Source organism: Homo sapiens, chromosome 8, assembly GCF_000001405.40.
Source record: "Homo sapiens chromosome 8, GRCh38.p14 Primary Assembly".
Classification (NCBI taxonomy): domain Eukaryota; kingdom Metazoa; phylum Chordata; class Mammalia; order Primates; family Hominidae; genus Homo; species Homo sapiens.
The window spans coordinates 139,727,201-139,748,643 of record NC_000008.11 but is presented as its reverse complement, the minus strand read 5'-3'; the positions used below and the strand labels follow the sequence as shown (position 1 = coordinate 139,748,643).

The window sequence follows — 21,443 nt, the reverse complement described above, 5'->3', positions numbered from 1 at the left end:
CCTATGCAAGGCCCGGCACAGAAAACCAGCTGCAGCCCCTCAGTACTCCTGCATGCCCCCCATGCCAGCTCTGACACCTGCAAATCTCCACACACCCGCTCTGACCCCTGCACACCCTCACACCCACTCTGACCCCTGTATGCCCCCCCTACCTGCTCTGACACCTGCTGTGTGTACCCCCTGCATCTTCTCTGATCCCTGCACACCTCCCCACCTGCTCTGACCCCTGCACAGCCCCCACACCTGCTCTGACCCCTGTACGCCCCCCTACCTGCTCTGACTCCTGCTGTGTGTACCCCCTGCATCTTCTCTGATCCCTGCACACCTCCCACCTGCTCTGACCCCAGGACACCCTCACACCCACTCTGACCCCTGTATGCCCCCCCTACCTGCTCTGACACCTGCTGTGTATACCCCCTGCATCTTCTCTGATCCCTGTACACCTCCCACCTGCTCTGACCCCGGGACACCCCCACACCCACTCTGACCCCTGTACGCCCCCCCAACCTGCTGTGACACCTGCTGTGTATACCCCCTGCATCTTCTCTGATCCCTGCACACCTCCCCACCTGCTCTGACCCCGGGACACCCCCACACCCACTCTGACCCCTGTACGCCCCCCCAACCTGCTGTGACACTTGCTGTGTATACCCCCTGCATCTTCTCTGATCCCTGCACACCTCCCACCTGCTCTGACCCCGGGACACCCTCACACCCACTCTGACCCCTGTATGCCCCCCCTACCTGCTCTGACACCTGCTGTGTGTAACCCCTGCATCTTCTCTGATCCCTGCACACCTCCCCACCTGCTCTGACCCCGGGACACCCCCACACCCACTCTGACCCCTGTACGCCCCCCTACCTGCTCTGACACCTGCTGTGTATACCCCCTGCATCTTCTCTGATCCCTGCACACCTCCCACCTGCTCTGACCCCGGGACACCCCCCACACCCACTCTGACCCCTGTATGCCCCCCCAACCTGCTGTGACACCTGCTGTGTATACCCCCTGCATCTTCTCTGATCCCTGCACACCTCCCCACCTGCTCTGACCCCGGGACACCCCCACACCCACTCTGACCCCTGTACGCCCCCCCTACCTGCTCTGACTCCTGCTGTGTGTACCCCCTGCATCTTCTCTGATCCTGCACACCTCCCACCTGCTCTGACCCCTGCACAGCCCCCACACCTGCTCTGACCCCTGGACACCTCCACACCCACTCTGACACCTGCACAACCCTCACATCTGCTCTGACCCTCCTGTACTCCTTCCCTTCCAGGCCTCAGCTTCCTCCTCTAGGAAAGGGTCTCATGATTCCTCCAAACCCCCTGGGTGCTGACCGTGCCCACGTGTATGATCTGATTGGCAGATGAGAAAGTCTGAGACTGGGTTGGCATTGTGTGATGAGGACAAGGACTCAACACAGAGCCACACAGAGCGGTGGGGGCGGGGGGCCTGCCTGGGTGGCGAGAGTCTTTGCTTTATTTAGACAGGCTTGAGAGAAGATGAAAAATGAGAGATTGAAAAGGTAGAGACATTGCTTGGGGACAGAGGAGTCATTTTAAATTCTCTGCTCTTCTCAGAAAGCTGTCTTTGCATAATGCTTCCAGCCAGCAGGCATATTTTCCATTTTTTTCCCCGTTTCTTTTTCTTCTGGTTTATCTTCAGTTGTCTAAAGTGCTTGTCCAAAAAGAGAAGGTTGAAGGGGAAGCACTTAATATAGTCATTGTCTCCATGAGCCAAGGCGTTCCTGGTGCAAAACACAGCTTGCCTGTGTTGAGAGAGAAGGGACTAGAGGCCCAGTGCCTGTCTGCCATGGATGCCCAATGTGGCCGTGGGCACAGCAGCGCATGGGGGCCCTGGTGCTTCCTCCTGAAAGGGAGGGCTTGGTTAAATGAGCTCTGGTGGCCTGTAAATGTCACAGCTAAATGCTGTAACAAACAGCCCCAAATTCCAGGGACCTAACACATCAGCCTCATTATGTTTATATCTCATGGTGTTCTTGGTGCAGGCAGCTTTTTGGCGCTCACCTGGGGACCCAGGCTCCACAGTGTTCTGGCTCTGACCACCTCGTGTCTTCGTCCCCTGTATGTCCCTGCCTACCCTGAGGCTCTACCCACCTGGGGCCCCACCCCTAGGGGCTCCCCTACCCCGTGGACCTGTTGGTCCCATAGCCCGCCTATCTTGCAGCTCCTCCCTCCTCCAGCCCTCAGTTTCTTCAGTTTCTCCTCTCAGCCTGGAGATGGGGGACTATAGGATGGATGTGTTTACGGTCCAGGTTTGTCCTTTCCCTCTAAGTCCCCTTGGTCTGGACTTGATCTTGTGTTTCCAACTCACTCCCTTGGAGAGGGGCTGCAGTCTGTGCCCAGGAGGAAACGCGATGGCTTCCCAGACAGCCTCTGCAACCAGAACCTTCTCGAGGTCGAGTATTCCATGAGAGAGCAGGGAACTGCCTCACGGAGGGGGCAGATGTGCAGGGCCTTGAGACACAGAGCTGAGGTGCCACCGGCGGCGATTGCAGGAGCCCAGCACAGAGGGCAAGGGGCACTGTGGATGGCAGCAGATGCCACCCTGATCACAGAGCCGTGGAGTGAAGGTGCACACTGGCCTTGGTGCCAGGGAGACCTGGGTTGAAGTGCTGACTCTGTCTCTTTAAACCAAAACAGGCTTGTCCATCAAGTGAGCAGGACGATGCCTCTCGGAATGTCACTGAGAATGTTCAGTGAAGCAGTGCCAGCGTGCTCGCCATGGGCACGTGGAGGCGGGCTGCTGCCCACCGACTCAGTTTACCCATGTGCTATAGATTTGTACATTTGAGCTCAGAGAGGTGAAGTCTTGGCCAAAAGGCACATAGTAGCAAGGCGGCGAGCCCAGTCCCTGGTCCCCCAACTGCCCGCTCCATCCAGAGGCCCTGGCTTCCCCTTTGCCTCCCTGTCCTGCTCTGTTTGTCCCCAAGGGAGGCTCCAGCCAGGGCAGCAAATCCCAGAGCCTGCTGGGCCTGAAGGAGGACTGGTTTCCTTCAGCAGCCCATGTCCTGCCCCTGCTAGGACGACCTGGCCTGTGTTCAGGCTCAGCTCTCTGTGCACAGCCCACCCCGACTCACCCGCTGTCCTACCAATCGCTTTGAGCGTGCTGAAGGCGGAGCTGAGCTGGAGCCGCTGCAAGTGCATGGCCTGGATTAACCCACAACTCCTTTCTCAGCTCTCCTGGGTGTGGGAGCCAGGCACCAGTGATTCACACCCCTCTGTTCATTGGGCATTTCTCTCTGGCCAGGATCAGAGCTCAGCCCTCTCCTTCACTCCACGCACCACCTTTCCCTTTTTTAGACAAGGAAGCAGAAGCTCTGGCTTCCGAAGGGGCTCACCCAGGCCCCTGAGTCAGCACCTAAGCTCCAACCATCATCTCACATCCAAGCCATAAAGCCTTCGACCCGAGGATCCTGGCCTGGTATCCGTGGAGGGTGTCCATGGGCTGGGAGACCCTGGCCTCAGTGTGTTGTGTTGGTGACGGTGTTTCACCCCGTCCTCAAGGCAGCCACGGCCACCATCCCCAGCAGGTCCTGGCCATGCAGGGTGTAATCAGGAGGCCTACCTGGAAGGGAAGTCCTTCTCCTCTCCGGAGCTCACCTCCTGCACATCCCCGGGGTCTCCCCTCCACAGGGGCCCTGGCATCCCTGGATGGAGGGTGGGTGAGCTCAGGAAGCAGAGAGCCTCCGATGAGAGAACTCCAAGCTGTACAGGTCTCCTCTCCAACTTCATTTTGCCCTAATTTTAATTTAATTCCCTTTAATCTTTAATGAAAAGTTGTAAAAGTAAATTATTTACCCAAGAGAGCCCAACAGCTCCTCAGGAGCTGTTCTCGACTTGAGGGTAATTACACATGCGGGGCCAGCACCACCGCCCTCCCAGGATGCCAGGGAAGAGGCGTCCTGGTTTATGAACTAATTAGCTCCCTCAGTAACTGTTAAAAACGCATGCCATTTGGTGGATTGAGAGCGAAGCTCCAGCTTCATGAAGTGCGTGCCCTGACAGTCGCTGATGGGGGGAAAGAGCCTGTGTTCTGTGTCCATGGGGTCAGCGGGAGTGTAGCCAGCTGGAGTGTGCAGAGCTGGGCCTGCCTCGGCTCCTAGGAGAGCAGTGCTCTGGGACACGGAGACGGAGCAAGTCCTTCTTCCGTCTCTGTCACCCAGCCTCTGTCTCCCTGTCTGAGCTTTCCTTGGGCTCCAGCACCCTGAGAGAAGGCCCCTTCCCAGCAGTCAGGGTCTGGAAGCGGGGAAGGGGTGGTGGAAAGGAGCAGGGGTGGGGAGGGGTGGGGACTGTGTGATTTGACACATACCTCCCAGGCTGTGCACTGCCTCTTTGACTAGACACTCTGTCACAGCACCGTCACCCCCATTTCCTGGCCATTATCCACGCTTCTCGCTTCTTTTCCAAACTCTCTCTGGATATACAATAAAGAGTTGAAATAAAATGCAGAAGGTCTGGACCAAGGGAAACCATATTGGCATAGTTGGTCAAGACTTGGAAGAGCAGTTGTGCAGGAGAGGCTGTGAGTGCGTGTTCATGCGTACCTGTGAGTGAACGTGTGTGGCGGTGGCAGTGAGTGCACGTTCGCGTGTACCTGTGAGTGCACTTGTGTGGCAGTGGCTGTGAGTGTACGGTCACTGAAGGCCAACATGGTGCTTTAGGTGGATTCATGTTTAGTTCTGAGCTTCCTAACAGCCAAAGTGAAAAGGTCAGTTACTTGGCTGTCATCAATAAAGAGGGAAAACATGCTGGACTGGGGGGCATTGAGTAGCTAGCAACCAACCACATTAGCAGTAGAGAAAGTTCACCAGTTATGTTAGATAATTGGAAATGAGAGGGTTTTATATGGGATGTGCCTGCCTGCCCCCCACCCCACAGGACAGCTGGCCCGGTGTTGGTGAAGGGCAGGAAACCTTGGCTTTGCAGTCCTCTCTCATCTCGGGTCTTGGCTATTTTATTTCTCCATAGAACTTATTTTGCTTCATCTAAAGAGGGAGAAAACTCCTTGATTAATTCTGAAGCCAAACCTTACCTGAATCAAATTTGGCTCTAAAATTTAGGACCGCCCAAGATTTATGTCAACTAGAAAAATGTGTGTCTTCTGAAATTTAAAAGTTAAATATATTATAGCTGAGGCAGGCTGGATAGAGCCTTAAAAACTTGACTCACTTTGTTCCTTGGTCTTCAAGTCATGTATTTCCACTGCATTGTTTTTGTCTTTACATTTTTAAATCCCAAATTAGATATTTGCAACTGAAGTCTACTTAGTCCCCTGTTTCTCGCCAGCGCAAAAGGTTGGAGAGTAGAGTTGTGGGGCCAGGTCGGGGAGGCGTCGCTGGGAGTTTGAGCTCTGGAGGAAAAATAAACCTTCAGCAGCCAGCCTTGAGGGGACATGCCCTGAAGGACAAGTGAACAGATTGTTGGACGAGCCAGTTGGACAAGAAATCCACAGATCATTCCGCTGTCACTGTAATTTACACAGGACTCTGGGCCCTGCAGACATTTTACCTGTTTCCTTCAACCACCTAAGAAGCCCACGGTAGCCTCACCCCACCACCTTCCACATTTTCTCCTCCCCTGCTCCTCTCAGCCCACTCTGAGTGAGGCAGACATGGCTTGTGCATTGGGCCTGCAACCCTGGACACATGCACGGCAGAAACTCATGCTCAGCACCACCCTAGACAGAGGAAACCCGCCTCTCTAGGGTGCAGTCAGGCAGGTCTCTTGAAAAGTCCACTGTGGTTTGAAATCTCTGCTGTACACTGAACCTGAGCCCACAGGTGGCGGCTGTTCTTCTCCCACAGATGCAGCATTTCAGTGAATGTTTCCTGGGTGCCAGGAGTGTCTGCCAGCTGCCTACCCCCACCCAGCCTGCAGATCAGAGTTGAAAGCAACCGTGCATGCTGGGCCCATCTGACCTGCTGGTCCTCATGTCCTGAAGGTCTGGTCTCCATCTGGCCCCATCTCCTGGCTCCCTAACTCCTGAGTCCATCCTGCCTCTGCCCGTGGCCGTGTTCTGGGTCCATAGCTTGCCCAAAGTTTGGGTCCTGACCCTCTCTGGTGGCCCCTGACTTGCCTGGTCCCTGATTGCATGTTGTGTTGTGCTGTGCTTGAGGGAAGAGACTTCCAGCTTCAGCCCTGGCCTGCTGTCTGGCCCCAGGCTCCAAAATGTGAGAAACTCCTGAAATATGGAGGTCAAGGGCTTGGAGTTCTGGAGGGTTCTCATGGCTTATGGACGTTGCAAGCAAAGAGGACTGCACAGAAGGGCCATTCCAAACAGCTGTCCCAGGCTGGTGGGGCGAAGCTGGGCTGTCTGCACAGGGAGCAGTGAGCGCCGGCAGCATGGCCGGTTGGGGGTAGATCGGGAGAACGCACGTGAGAACCGCAGCAAGATGCTACTTCACCTCCACCAGGATGGGTGAACCAGAGCCAGGCAACCACAGTGCCATAGAAGGCGTGGAGCAGTCAGGCCTCTCCCGCACCGCCGCTGGGAATGGGGGTGCAGCCGCCTTGGAAAACAGTCTGGTGCTTCCTGAAACCATTAGACAGAGTTGCCATTTGACCCAGCAAGTCTGCTGTCAGGTGTACACCCATGAGAAATAATAACCTGTGTCCACACAAAATCTTCTCCATAAATGTGCACAGCAGCACCACTCATCACAGCCAAAGGTGGAAACAGCCCATGTGTCCCTTGGTGGATGCTATATGAACAAAATGTGCCCCATCCAGACATGGAGTATTGTCCCGCCATGAGAAAGAACGCAGCACTGACCCATGCTGCAGCACGGGTGAGCCTTAGAGACATCATGCTCTGCGAAGGAAGCCAGGCGCCGGAGCTCACTGCCCTCCGCTTCTGTTTATATGTGAGTCAGAGTAGGGAAATGTATGGTGCGGGAAAGGAGATTACTGGGTTGCCCAGGGCTGGGGGTGGAGTGGGTCTGGGGGGCAGGGCAGTGATGGCTAAAAGGGTACAGGGTTTCTTTTGAAGGTGATGGAGATGTTCGAAAACGGGCTGTGGTCGCACATATCTGAATATACTACGAACCACTGAATTGTACACTTTAAATGGGTGAATTGTGTGGTATGTGACTTTTATCTTGATAAAGCTACTGGAAAACAACAACAACAAAAACAACAAAACCAGACCAAGTCCAGAGCCCAGGAATCCAGTGGGGGCTCAGCACCTACTGCTGTTCACCTGGGACCAGCTCCTGAGCCACTCGCCACCTCAAGAGCGTCATCTGTCAAATGGAACAAGGGTCAGCCCTCCTACTGGGGCTGCTCCAAGGACTGAATTAGGGGATACCTACAGAGCGCTGAGCCCTGGGCCTGGAAGACAGCGAGTGCTCAAGAAGTCAGGCATTGTTGACAACCAGAGGAGCACCAAGGAGGAGTGCCACGCCCAGGGGAGGGGGCATCACGCCCGGGGGGAGCTTCACACCCAGGGGGAGCATCATGCCCAATGGGGAGTGTCACGCCCAAGGGGGAGTGCCCTGCTGGGGCAGGCTGGAGGAGGGGGAGGCCGTGGGTGCAGGTAGGGCAGGCCTCTTCCCCCACATCCTCCACCCTCCTCTTGGGGCTCATTGGGGTCACAGAAACCTCTGGCTGGAGTCCCAAGCTGTGGAATCAAATGGGAATGGCAGCTGCCCAGGGCTGGGCCTCTGCATCTCCCTGGATTCACCCCTCCTGGTGCTGCTCCTGACACAGCCAGACCACAGTGGAAGCAGTGTTTGGCAGAGCCCAGACTGGAAGGCCTGCACCAGCACCACATCTGCCCTCCAGGAGCCTGAGTCCTGCACGGGTCACGACAGCCGGAGGTGGAGAGGCCGAAGGACGGGTCTGCCCCAGGATGGCTCCAGTTGGGGCCCCGTCCCCATGGAGCACCTGAGCTCACCGCCCGTGTGGGCCTTATCCTGTAGAACATCACCACTGGAACTGCCTCCCCTGCCTACCACTCTCCAGGACAGGGCTCCCGGACCTGCTTCCGCAGGGCCCGCATGGGGCCCAGGCAGCTCCTGTCACCTCTCTACACCTCAGTGTGCTTCTGCAAATAAAGCTGCACCTGCTCTCTGACCTCTTAGGAGGATGTGGGCGCTGAGTGAGACACACTTTACCACCTGTGAGCCTCGACCAGCCTGCCTCCCCCTGCCCAGCATGCGCACATTGCCTCGTTCTCAGCCCCACGGTGGCCCCCTGGCCCCATGCACAGGCTGGCCAATGGCTTCCTTTCTCTGTGCCCTGCCAAGCCCCTCCCTGGCGGGCACAGCCTTTACTTATAGCCCGTGTTTCTACCAGAGCCTGGACGTGCTATAGCAGGGACTTCAGGAGGAATTCTGGGCCAGACACAATTATGTCCGTAACTCTGGCTGGTATTAAATGTGAAACAGAAGCAGGGCCAGGGACAGGAGGGAAGAGGGGGCCGGTGCCGATGTGACGCCTTGAGGAAGGAGGCTGATTGGCTCCCAGGAGATTCCTTACAACATGAGGTTCTCCTGCATAAGTCATCTGTGGGCCCAGAGCGGAGCATGGTAGCTCGGCCTAGAGTCCTCATTCAGGACGCACTTCTGGGACATGGCCCTGGTCCCTCATGTGCCAAATGGTGCACTAGGGGTTTAAATGGGGCAGGGCACAGCCAGTCGGTGGTGGGGCCAGCGTTCAAACCTGGGTACCTGACCCCAAAGCCCAGTATTCACTCACTCACTCATCCATCTATGTGTCCAGCAGATATGAAATGGAACTTGTGTCTGCCATTTGCCTGCCTGTGCTGGGTATTGGGGACACCACGGTGAATGAGACGGCCAAGTGCCAGTGTTCCTAGAGCTTCCTGACGAGGAGGAACACGGGTAGTTAACAATGAAACAAATCGATAAACAAGGTCGCTTCAGATCAGATGCCAGGGCCATGAGAAAATACATGAATGTGGCCGAGTGGCTGGCAGGGGCAGGAAGCCCTCTACTGTGTGGTCAGGGACAACCTTTCTGGCAGAGCCAAGTCCTGACCGTCAGGATGGAGCTGGTAGGGAGGCCAGGATGGCAGGTGCAGAGGCTCTGGGACAGGAAGGATGTGCTGGAGGGACAGGATGGCCAGGGAGCAGTGGCGGGGAGGACACAGCCCGGGAGACGGGCTCTGGGAGGAAACTCGTAGGGCCGAGGAGACCAGAGTTGGGGTGAGAATTTCATCAAGACTTTCTTTTATTCTGAGCATAAACAGAAGCCACGGGCCAGGCAGGCGAGGAGCATGGAAGTGACACTACCTACCAGCGTCTCACACTAGAGCTGTGGTCGTGCAGAAAGGAGAGGGAGCGGCCAGCCAGGGCGGGGCGGGTGGAGGCTGAGCAGAGGCCCAACTGCATGGGCACCGGACGTTTCCCAGGCTGGGGCTGGGTGTCCGGGAGGAGAGGACCCAGCTTGAGCTGCTGCCGGTGGTGGAGCCACTCTACTGGGGAAGGCATGGGGAAGAGGGGCAGGAGGAGAAAGTGGAGGGTGAGACCCCGTGGTGCCCGGTCGAGATGTCAGGGTTGCCCAGAGGAGCACGGGCCTGAGGCTCAGGGCCTCTCCAGTGCTTGTTAGATAAATGAATGATGTGATCTTAGCCTGGGGCGCGTTGGGTTTCAGAAGCTGGGGGCGGGCAGGAGCCGACATTCCTAGAACACCTTGTTCTGTCTGGCACCTCTCATAGAGGATCTGACACTCACTCCACATCCCTGAGAGGAAGGTGCGACCATTCCAAATGAGGAAACCGAGGCTCAGAGAGCTGTGCACCCTACCCAGTGCCGTCTGCCCCAGGACCAGCTCTGCGCCCAGGCTGGGTCTCCCCTAGTGGCCTGGGAAGTGGTGGCCCTGAGGCTGACTGGGGCCCCTTGGGGGCTCTGTGTGTGTCCTCAGACCCCTACCTGTGTTGGGCTCACCAGCTGCTCTCACAAGTGACCACAAGGTTAGTGGCTTAAACAGCACATAACCCCGCCGTGTGGTTCTGGGGTCCAGAGTCTGATCGGTGTTGCGGGCTACCTTCCTCCCTGGGCTGGCATTCTCCAGCTCCTGGGGTGCCTGCACCCTGTGCGCCTTCCCCCGTCTTCATAGCCAGCAGCGAAGTGTGCCCCTCTCCTGCCTCCCTTCTTGCCTTGTAAGGACTCTCCTGACGCCATTGGGCCTACTCCGATGGCCCAGGGTCTTCTCCCTTTCTCCAGGACCTCCGTTTCATCACATCTGCTAAGCTCCTTCTGCCATGGGAGAGGACATACAGGCTCCCGGGACTGGGACATGGGCAAGTGGAGGGGGCACATTATTTTGTCAACCACATGACCCCTTCTGTTGCGAAGGAAGTCCTGGGGATTCAGGAGGCTTTGCTAGGCATGTTTCGACCTTTAGTCATTCTGTCTCTCAGCTCATGACCCCCCTACCACGGGCTGCCGTGGGCACAGGAGCCCCTTCCCCTCCCTAGGCTGCTGCTTCCCTGGGATAGGGCATTCGAGGTCCAGGCAAAAAGGCCTAAGGGGACCCAACATCCCCAGAGGCCCTGGGTCTGCCTCCCTCGTGGTCAGAGTGGGCTGAAACTGCCTGCCTGGCACCTGGCTTGGGAGAAGCTGGAAGGACCTGCCCCTGCTGCGTCCTTCCTCTCAATTGCATCCGGCACAGAGCTTCGTCAGTGTTCACAGCCAGCCCGCGGGAGAGGAAGGGCCCTGGAGAAGCTGTCGAAATGCAAAGCATCCCCGTCCTAGTTCTCCTCCGCTGCTCCTGCAGATCCTCCCCTCCTCAGGGAAGGTTGGGAGCCATGGTGGTTAGGATCAAGCGGCCCCTAACAAAACCCCACTTGACGTGGTCTCCTTCTACCCCACCTAAAGACTGGGGCGTCAGAGAGGTGGAGATTCACAGAGAAGTAACTCAAACCCAAGACAGTCCGTTCTCCAGCCAATCAGGAGCCTGGGCCTGTGCTGCTAACAGCTCCTCGACAAGCAGCTGTGCAAATCCCGCCCCATCCCGCCTGGGAGAGGGAAGGAGGAGCCAGTCCTGCCAAGAGGCGGCTCATTTGGTGGACCAGGAAATGGAGGGTGGCAGGAAGCCCGACGGGGGCCAGCCCCAGAGAACAGTGGGAGAAAACTGGACCCTACACACCCAGACACCAGACTCAGGGTTTTCCGTGGGGGGGGGGGGAGGGCTGATGACCCCCGCCTGAAGGCTGTGGGAAGGTGCTCTGCGGGGTGGTGAGGAGCGGCCGAGGGAGGGGACACATGCGCTGGCATCCCTGCCCACCTCCTGGGGACCAGCCGGCCGGGCTGCTGCGGTCACAGAACTGGGTCCCGGTTCTAGGGCTCACCTTGTGATTGAGCAGCGGGTCCCCCAGGAGGCACCCACTCTTCTCAGCTGAAGCTGACAGGCAGGCTGCGTGGCCCCTGGGCTGCCCGCTCTGTCCCTCAGGGCCTGCCTGGGGAGCGCCGATAGAAGCCGAATGCTGGGGGAGCCAGGAGTAGAGCCAGCCCCTGCGCGGGCCACAGACGGGGTGAGCTCCCAGCAGCACCCGCGCTTTCACGTGTGGTTCCTTCCTGTCCCCCAGCGGCAGTTTAGAAACTGCTCCAAAGCAGCTTGTCTTTGAGAAATTTTTCCCATTATTTATCCCAGGTCCGTCCTGGTTGGAGTCGGGGAAGCCATCTTGTAATGGACGGTGGCCCTGGCTTCTCTTCTCTCCTCTTATATGCTCCTTGCAGCCCTGCTCAGCAGGGTGGCTGTGGAGAGTGGGGCCCTGCAGAAATGAGCCCATTTCCTCTGATCCCCCAGGACTGGACACCGCTTGTTCGGGCCCAGAGTCAGAGAAGCGAATTGGCAACAATGGATGTGGCCGGTGTTGCTGCTGACGGGGTCACGAATCCTACCCGGGCACAGCCCTGCCATGCGGTCACATGTTCTCATTGCAAGGCAGCTGCGAGCATCGCCGCCATCATCATCACGGTCATTAGACCCGTTTCCACCACATTTCCTCAGCTGTACCCTGGGGGTCCCAGGGGAGACCAGGACATCCTTTTGAATTCAGGAAGCTTAATGCTCTCGGACAAAAACAGACCTCTGCTCTGCCCCGTCATAGGAAGGTTTGCTTTTCCTCTGTGTCATGGGGAAGAGTCAGCGTCAGGGGATTTGGTGCCTGTATGCCTGGATCTGAGCTGCCGGAGCTGTAGGGGCTGCCCCAGCTGTGGAGCAAGGAAGGAAACGGCTGCTTGCTGAGCACAGAAATGCATTAATTTGGTCGGCAGTCATTGTGGATGCCAGGCCTCGGGGTAATGTGACCCACCGTCCCAGTTTGCCTGGCACTGAGGGTTTCCTGCAATGCAGGCTAAAAGCCAAACTAGCCCTGGGCAAACTGGGATAGTTGGTCACCCTGGGAGCAGGGACAGAGCAGAGAGCAAGACAGGTGCTGCCTGCCATTCCAGAGCACTGCCCTCCTTCTGCAATGCTGGCCACACAGGAGAGCCTGTGGCAGGAGTGCTCGCTCTGGCTGGGTCCTCTCTGCTCTTCACCCCTGCCCCCAGTCTGGGAGGTCAAGATCATCATCCCAGTTTCATAGATGAGATGGAGGGGGCACCAGTTGTCAAACGGCCTTTCCCAGGGTGAAGGGAAGTCAGAGGCAAAGTTGGGACTGCAGCCTGGCCTCCTGCTCCGACAGGGTGTGGCTCTGCCCACAACCCCTGCCAACCCCTACCACCCTGGCCTCACACCTAAGTGCCACACATTCCTTCCCCTCTTCTTAGAAAGTAGCAAAGAAAGGTTCCACCAGCAGTGTTCACAGGGACAGCTGGCTCCAAGCCTTCATCAGCTTTCTCTTCCCAAGGGGTTGTACAGAGCTGGGGCTAGGAAGGGTTAAACAGGCAGGCCAGCGTGGCTCTGCCCAGGAGCCCACAGACCAGTCCTCTGCTGCCCCAGCAGCCCACACAGTTCTCTGCAAAAAAACAAAACAAAACAAAAAAAAAAAACAGGGCAGGGTGGTACTGAGCCAACTACCCTTCACTGATTTGCACATAATCGTATCTTTCCCTTAATGGAACCAGCAACCAGGCTGCCCCATCTGCTCTCTCCATCTCCCCACCTTTTATTCAAGAGGCTCAGACCGCGCCTGGTTCGGTTCACTGTTCAAGAAACATTTACTGAGGCCTGGCTTGGGTGGCACAGAGGTAGAGGAGGGAGAAGGGCTGGTGATGGATTGGAGCCTCCCTGTGCTGGGTTGCACAGCACAGACAGGTAACCAAGGCTGGAGACGAAAGCCGCTGCCCCAACAGCACTGGGCCTCAAGACAAAGTCCCTCAAATGCTCATGGGTACTGGGACGTGCTGTGACTGAGCTCCTCACAGCAAGAATATGAACTTGTCACAACTGTTAGCATTAGAATTGGCTCCATGTTACAGAAGAGGAAACGGAGGCCCAGGAGGTGTAGTGACATACCCTGGGGTCCCATAGATAGAAGCGCTCAAGCTCAGGTCCTTCTGGTCCTACCTTCTGGACTCAGCAGGACAGACCAGCTGGGAGAACAAAGAGCCCGTCTTGATGCTGTCTGCTGCACATCAGGCACTGCTGGAAGTACTCAGGGGCACTATACATAGCCCAGTGAGCAGGGCCTCAGGACCCCCAGGTTTATCCCAGCCTGGTCAGACTCAGTGCAGGTGGCCCTGCACATCCAGAAGTGTAGGATGCAGCAAAAGCTGGGATTTGAGGGCAAATCATAGCCTTGAAAAACACTAGAATAGAGAAAGGTGTCCTTTCCTCCAGGAAGCCTTCCCTGATGCCATCCCCACAGTGGCACAGAGTGAAGGGCTACTTCCCTGGGCCCTATAGTGGGCACCTGTTGAGTGCTGTGTCATGCAGAGGCTTGGCATGCCCCAGCTCTTGGCTGAGCGTTCCTTCTCCCACTGGATTGTGAGCTTGCTCAACAGTGGGTCATGCTCATCACACTGGCTGCAAGGGCCAGCAGCCAGCTAATAAATCTTGGAATGAATGAATGGGACCAAATGGTTTCTGCAGCCCCTTTCAGCTCCAGCCCTGAGGATGGGGAATGGGCACAGGCCTCCAGCCTTCCTGGAGGGCAGTCTGACCTATCAGCCTCTCTTAGAAATGTTTATTTCTCTTGTGCCACCCATTTCATCTGCCTCACTGTTCCAGGAACATAAACTCAGAATTCAGACAGAGCTCAATATAAAAAGGTGTGCATCAGTCACTTACACTGGAAAACAGTGGACACGAGCCACATTCAGGTGGCTCCCTAATAGCACAGGCCATGTCCTCATCTCCTTATCATAAGCCACGCACTGACTTCTCTCAAATGAGAAAATAAGGACGCACTGGACATGAATGTTTCAGAATTGCGTACCCTTAAACCTCTCTGGCACACGGGCTATGGAGAGCACTGATGTCCCAGGAGTCCTTCTTCTTGTGCCTTGGCCACGAGATCCTCTGCTGCCTGCCAGGCCCCCACAGCCTCCCTGTGAACCCAGGACCCTGGATGGCAGAGGAGACAGGCCTAGAGGCTCTGAGCCAGGACTCGCTGGGAATTGGGTGTGGGGACTTTCAATATCCTGTCCCCTCTGCCCCCATCCTCTTCAGGGGTCGAAAGAGTGGCTTGGGGTCTTAGAAGGTGCTTTCCTCCTCACCTGCGTGTGAGGGCAGTGGAACCCAGGCAGGACAGCAGGAGGCCCAACCACACCTGAAGTTGCCTGCTCTGGCCTGACCGTGTGAGCCAGGCAGGCCAGTCCTTAGAGGACCTTCCTCTCCAGGCTGCAGTGAGGACACCCCACAGGGCCCTCCTTGCAGCCACAGAACAGAGGTCAAGGGCAGAGGGCTGTGGGTCAGGGTGTTTCCAGGATCCTCCGCTGCAGGGTGCTGGCACCAGGCCCGGCCCAGGATGCCCGTGACTGTGTTAAGGGGCAGAAGGGGTGGGAGTGCTCTTGTGGCCCACCTGCTCTCCCTATGCGTGTCACCATCATGTCATCCTTATTCCACCTGCCTGCCTTGATAGCCCACAGCACAGGATCAGCCACGGCAGACCATGGGGCTCAGGCTGGCTCCCAGGGCCACGCAGTTTGTACTTGGATGACATGAAGTCAAATTGCAGGCTGCGGGACCTCCCACTTCCAGGACCTCCACAACAGGGCCACAGCAGGTGGCCTTTGCCCAGCAGGAAGGGCCCCCCACCCCACATCTTAGCCTGCTAGGGCTGCCACAGCGAACGACCACAAACTGGGTACTTGAACAACAGATGTGTGTTCTCAGTTCTGGAGGCAGGAAGGCTGAGACCAAGGTGCTGCAGGACCATGGGAGGTTCTGGGGGCTTATTCTTCCCTCCTTCAGTTCCTAGGGGCTCCAGCCACCCAGGGCTCCTTGGCTCCTGCCCGTATCCTCTAGTCTCAGCCTCTGTCTCTGTCTGTGCTTCCTCCTCTTCTGCCCCATATAAGGACATTGTCACTCACTACAGGGCTCACTCTAATCCAGAATGAGCTCCTATCGGGACCTTTCACTTAATTACATCTTCAAAGACTCCCCTTCCCCAATACGGTCACATTCTCACGTATCTTTTGGGGATCACCATGAAACCTGCCACCCTGATCATCAGCTCGCTTCCCTGAGAGAGGGCACACTCTCTCCGCCCCCACCCCACCCTGACCTCAGCCTCCTTCCTTGCTGCTGCCCAGTTAGGAGGCGTCCTCCTTGTCTGCAAGCTCTTGGGGCATGTAAGCAAGGAAGGGAAGAGGAGATGAATCCATGCTCCTTCGCCCAGGACCAGCTCCCTGCCTGGCAGGGTCCACGGGTCCCAGAACCGTGCCACTTCCCTGAGCACCTGTTCTGTGCTGAGCTGTGTGTCAGGCACCCTGGACAGGCTGACAGAATGAAGAAAACACAGTGCAGCCACTTTATAGGGAGTGCTGGAGCCCACTGTGCATTCCTCCTGGGGAACGAGATCAAGACACCACCTCCTGGGGTGTGTGGTCTTGCAGCCACTGGAGGAGAGGGACCTCGGGCCTGCCTGTGCCCCAAAGCTCACCTGACCCCTGACCTGCGGCACTTTAGGGCCTGTAGGGCCCCTTCCACGCCCTCGCCTCTACGGTGTCAGACTCTCACCTGGACAGGAGTCCCTGACTCACTAGAGAGCTCCTCCCCTTCTAGGTGGGCTGTGGCAGGAGGCCCTCCCAGAGGCCCCTCCATTGGGGTGCAGACCCCTTGAGTCATAGCTCTAGCCACCACACCCGTCTTTGCCAGGTTCCTCTTCCGGAGACCAGGAACTGGTCACACATCTGTGTCCCCAGTGTCCAGCCTGGCAGGGAGTGGGTGGCAGCCTTGAAGAGTGAAGGAGGGAAGAAATGAATGAATCAGCGAGTGGGTGGGGTAGGCCGGCTGGGCCGTGCAGGCCAGCCCAGCCCCCGACAGTCTCGTGTCCCTTACAGATGTGCTGGTGGACGGACAGCCATGTGACCGCGAGGCTGTGGCGGCCTGCCAGGTGGGCGACCCCGTGCGCCTGGAGGTGCGGCTGACCAACCGGAGCCCGCGCAGCGTAGGGCCCTTCGCCCTCACTGTGGTCCCCTTCCAGGACCACCAGAACGGCGTGCACAACTACGACCTGCACGACACCGTCTCCTTCGTGGGCTCCAGCACCTTCTACCTCGACGCGGTGCGTGGTGGTGTGCAAGGCGGTCTGGGAGCCTCTGGCCATGTGGTCATCATCCCCCCTTCCCTGGGTGGTGGGCTTTGGGGTCAGCATATGTCCAGCAGACGATAGCAGCAGGGGTTCTGTGGTCACGTGTGCACACTGAGTCTGAGTCTGCCCCATTCACTGCAGGAACTTAGACAAGCTCACCTGTCTCTCAGTCCTGGACAGTGAGGCCCTCAGGGTTGGTGAAGCAGGAAAATGTGCAGGGAATGGGAGCTGTGCCCAGGACAGGGGGCTGCTCCATGATTGGACCCTGCTGTGGCATCACTGTGATGTCACTGTCACCCATCCCGTGCCTGCCGCTCCTTCCACGGAAAGGCTCCAGCCCTACGCCCTCAGCCCCCACCTCCCACCTCCTACCTCTCAAGCTGCCTCTCAGCACCTCACTGTCAGGCCCCAGCACAGGCTAACATTCCATTCCCCTCTGCCCCAACCTCTCCCTCACTCCCTCCCACACTCCTGACCCTCCCACACTCCTGACCCCCTGAGCCCCCAAACAATTCAGGAATGGGAATATTGGCAGCTCCTTTCCAAGATGAAAACTGGCTCGGAGAGGCGCAGTGACCTGCTGGAGGGGGCACTGGAGCCAGGCCTGGGCGGCCCTCGCTTCCCCCATAACACCTATGTCCAGGCAGATTCCCAGGATTCCTGGTGGCTTTGGGTGGCCCCTGCTGCTGACCAGACTGATGTGTCTTTCTCCTCCCTGCTCAGGTGCAGCCGTCCGGCCAGTCGGCCTGCCTCGGGGCCCTCCTCTTCCTCTACACGGGAGACTTCTTCCTCCACATCCGGTTCCACGAGGACAGCACCAGCAAGGAGCTGCCACCCTCTTGGTTCTGCCTGCCCAGTGTGCACGTGTGTGCCCTGGAGGCGCAGGCCTGAGCCCGCCTACTTCCGTCCCTCTTTCTGCAGGGCCAGAGGTGACCCTGCCTGGCCTCCCACACCCCCTGCAATGAGCAAGGCCTTCACTGCAGCCCCATCTCCTCCTCCTCCCCCAGACCCCTCCCAGCCCTCTCCTCCTGTTCCTCCTGTAGCATCTTTGCTGGGCTACGCAGAAGCCCCGGACATGGCAGCCCCACCCCATGCCACGCCCCTTCCTACACTGTTCCCTGGACCATACACAGGCTGAAGCAGAGGAAATCCCAAAGCGGGTGCCCATCCAGCCCAGGTCCCAGGATCCCTGCACCCATTTCTGTGACCTGGGGCCCCAGCCGTGCTGTGCTGCTCATCCCAGCAGAGGGACCTCCCTCGTCCAGCGACTTCCCTTTGGCCATAGAAAGAAATGGTGAGCATGAGACTGGGCACAGCCTGAGGGCGTGGGCAGCTTCCCACCCTCCCTGGGCCTTGGAATCCCCCAAGGCTGGTTTTCTTCCTGGAGACCCCCATGGGCAACTTGGCAGGAGAGATGGTGCCGTAGGAGGTCGTGGATGGTTGATGCCAAGAGAGGCCCTCCACCCGTGGTGGGCAAATGTCCAGGCCTGGGCTGGCAGCCCAGGGCTGTTTCTGGGTGCTCCCTGGCCCCAGGGTGGCGTCTGGTTACCATGGCTGTGTGTGTCCATGTCTGCAAGCAGTTCTTCAATAAATGGCCTGCCTCCCCCTCCCTGCCTCCCTGCATCTGCTAGCCCAGTGCAGTCCGGGGCCCCCACCCAGCCCGTCAGCCCCCACCTCAGGTGGCTGGCTTCCCAGCAGAAGCCGGACCCAGGAAGGGACGGGTTCTGAGTTAGAGATCTCACATAAGCAAACGCTGAGACAGGAATCTGGTCACCAGCAGCTTGTCTGGGAGGTGGAAGGAGGCCTGCAGGGGAGGGAGATCACCAGTGAAGGAGTGTGACTGGGCCCGAGCTGCCGCCACAGTGGGCAGCTGGCCCTGCGTTCCTCAGGGAGGACCGGAGAGAGAAAGCACACGGCTCACATCTCCCTTGAGGGCCAGAGCTGGGGTGTGTCTACACTACCCACAAGAGTCCTGTTCTGGGGGCAGGCTTCTGGCTGTGTTGACCCTTAGCTCCCCAGGTCCCAGGGAGGATAAACAGCCCTTGGTCCCCAGCAGATACCAGGCTCGTCAGGTGCCCGTTGGGCACTGAAACTCCCATGGAGTATTGGGGGACAGAGAGCGGGGCTTCCTAAAGGCCAGTTGGCCAAACAGGCAGAGCCAGGAAGTGGCTGCCCTGGCCTCCCATGGGGCAGAGTCATGTTGGCATCAGGAGGCCTGCGGGGCTGAGGGAACTTCCTGAGGACCTGAAGTCCCAGGCCCAAACCTCCCTCGCTGGGAGCAAGGTCACCCTGTGGCCTCCGGCCTAAGGAACAAATTTTTTGTTCCATCTGTGGCCTCCTGTTGTCGCTCAGTGAATGATGGGAGCACACTGTGATGTGGTGTGGGCTGGGGGCATGTGGGGGCGGGTGTCCAGTGGCCCTCAGTTCCTGGAGCTCATTCAGCATCTGCTCGAGGCTCCCCAGGGAAGGCAGCCCCAGAAGGTCTGGCTGCAGTAGGGGGTGGAGACCCCAGGGCGGTCTCTTCAGCCCTTCCGTTCAGGATGCCTCAGCGTAGTTGAGGGCCTGGCCACCTGGGCTGTTTCTGAATGGAACAAACAGCATCCATGTGTGTCAACCTCAACAGAGCCCAAAAATACGCCATTGAATGAAACAACACATTGCAGGATGATGGGCTCAGCCCAACCTCACTTGTGTAGACAATGTCCCCCCAAATTATAAATTTTCTATGCCTCAGAACGTGTCTATAACAACATGTTTAAAAGGTAGAAAGGATACACATCCCCTGTAGAAGAGTGACCTGAACTGGAGTTGCATTTGACATCTGATGTCAGCATGAGGGTGCTGGTCACCGGGGACTTGAGTACGTACTTTCCTTTCAAAAGCACAATAGATCAAGATACAGGTACACACATAGCTACAGATATAGATCCAGCCACAGATCCAGATTAGATATAGATGCATATAGAAGCCTAGAAAAGCCAATATGGAAAACTCTGGCAGTGTTTGATTCTGAGTGGCAAGCATATTGGTGACTGTAATTATTTCTTGCAGTTTTCTATATTTTTTAGTTTCCCAAACTGCAAAAAATACCCACAACAGTTACCAGAGAAAATGCTGGATGCCACAAGAAGGAAGAACCTCAAGGGGCAGGAGGCAAAGTTGTCTTCTTGGAGGAGGGGGTGTTAGAAATAACCCAGGCCTCCTGGAAAATGACCCAAATACAGCCTGGCTCTGCCAGCCCCAGGCCCTTCCCCACCCCCAGGGCACCCTTTCTGTCCCAGTAGAGAAGGTGACCTGGAGTCAGGCCTTGTGTGTGCTCCAAGCGTTTGGAGCTTTACCGTGGGATGTGGGGAGCCAGGGGTGTTGTTTGCTGGCATTTCTGTGGCTGGGTCTTTCTGGCTGTGGAGCTGTGTTTGTGGGCAGTGGCTGAGATGGAGGACCTGGGGCAGGTGTCTCAGTGACAGCGCAGTATCCTCCAGCCTCTTCCAGGGCCCCACGCTACTGGCTACCTGGCAATACAGTCCAGCAGTTGCTGCTTCTCTAGGCCCCTGGTGCATTCAGAAACCTCCTGAAGGCCAGCGGAGGGTAAGCCAGGAACAGATCATGTCCATTGCACTTCACTAGCTGAGCGAGTTGGTTCTGCCCTTCTGATCCTTGGTCCCTCAGGGCCAGGACAGGCCCGGTGACCCCATAATCATGCAGCCGTCATGCTCCGTCATCTGAAATTCACAAGGAAGGCAAGGATTCAAAGGAAGATGTCTGAGATGCTGAACTCCAGCTCAGCCACTTGTCAACTCCTTGACCTTGGACAAGTTACTTAAATTAAGCCTTGATTTTTTTTCATCTGAATAAATAGAGATAAAAATACTTATTTCATGGACACTTTCATATCAGTTTATTTGATTTAACCTCCTAGATTTTTTTTTAGCACATGATAGCAACTTCTTAATAAATACTGGGTCCCTTCTCCTAGCCTTCCCATTGCTGTTCTTTTTAATTCCATCCACATGTCCTGTGCCTGAAATATCCTGTGCCATGTGCCTGAAATTCCATTCTTCTCCTGGAACCCTTAACAGGCCACATTGCTATGCTCCGTTAGTCCCCTGCATGGCTTAATGTATTAGGTAACATGAAGCATGTAAGGAAGAACTTTCTAACACAGGTGCTGAAATGGGACAGGAAATGCTGATGGAGTGAGCTCTTTGTCAATAGAAGTATTCAAGCAAAGTCCGGACCTGTAGATGGTTTCAAAACATGTAAGCATCATTTGGGGCTTCTGAGCCTACCAGCCAAGAAATTGTCAATGATGACTTGTTAAGAGGTATTTCTGATCCCAGTAAGCAGGGAAGAGAGAGAGATGTATGTGACCACATGGCTCTTGGGGCCTCAAGCAATGTCTTAAGACACAATAAATTTTGATCAAAAAAGGCTTTCAACATGAAGGGCTAGAGATCTAGACTAAGGGTCTAGGCTAAGCCTCTTACTGAAAACACATTTGTAAGTGCATCCATGACCCGGCAGGAGAGTCAGAAATATTCACCCCAGTACCTGTGTGTAGGCAAAGTCCTGGGAGGTGAGCTGTGCACTGATGCCAACTTCCACTTTGAGGGGTTTTGCCAAAGCTGGAGTATCAATGTCTTCAGCCTTCCAAAACTGGAGGAAAGATGACAAAGCTCAGGGCCCACTGGCTGGGGAATCGAATAGATGACTGCTCCGCATCAATTTGAGAGCCTAAAGATTACACCTTTAGT

General features: G+C 56.8%; 1 protein-coding gene across 10 annotated transcripts in view, besides 1 other annotated feature; it reads left to right on the top strand.

Moving 5' to 3' along the window:
- The window catches only part of TRAPPC9 (trafficking protein particle complex subunit 9), a 730,855-nt gene extending 709,936 nt beyond the window's left edge, over nucleotides 1-20,919 (top strand). For all 10 annotated transcript variants that reach the window (NR_164662.1, XM_011517326.3, NM_031466.8 and 7 more), the window contains 2 exons: nucleotides 16,442-16,665; nucleotides 17,416-20,919. Coding sequence is in view for 9 of the 10 variants with exons in the window: in XM_011517326.3 (XP_011515628.1) it covers nucleotides 16,442-16,665; nucleotides 17,416-17,583 (392 nt within the window). In the remaining variant the exon portion in view is untranslated. The remainder of the gene's footprint in view (nucleotides 1-16,441; nucleotides 16,666-17,415) is intronic.
- Nucleotides 11,175-11,921: an enhancer, noted in NCBI's record as "H3K4me1 hESC enhancer chr8:140748966-140749712 (GRCh37/hg19 assembly coordinates)". NCBI's record gives its function as "activates a minimal SCP1, AML or CMV promoter by ChIP-STARR-seq in naive H9 embryonic stem cells {active_cell/tissue: H9 hESC(naive)}" and the evidence as "EXISTENCE:reporter gene assay evidence [ECO:0000049][PMID:30033119]".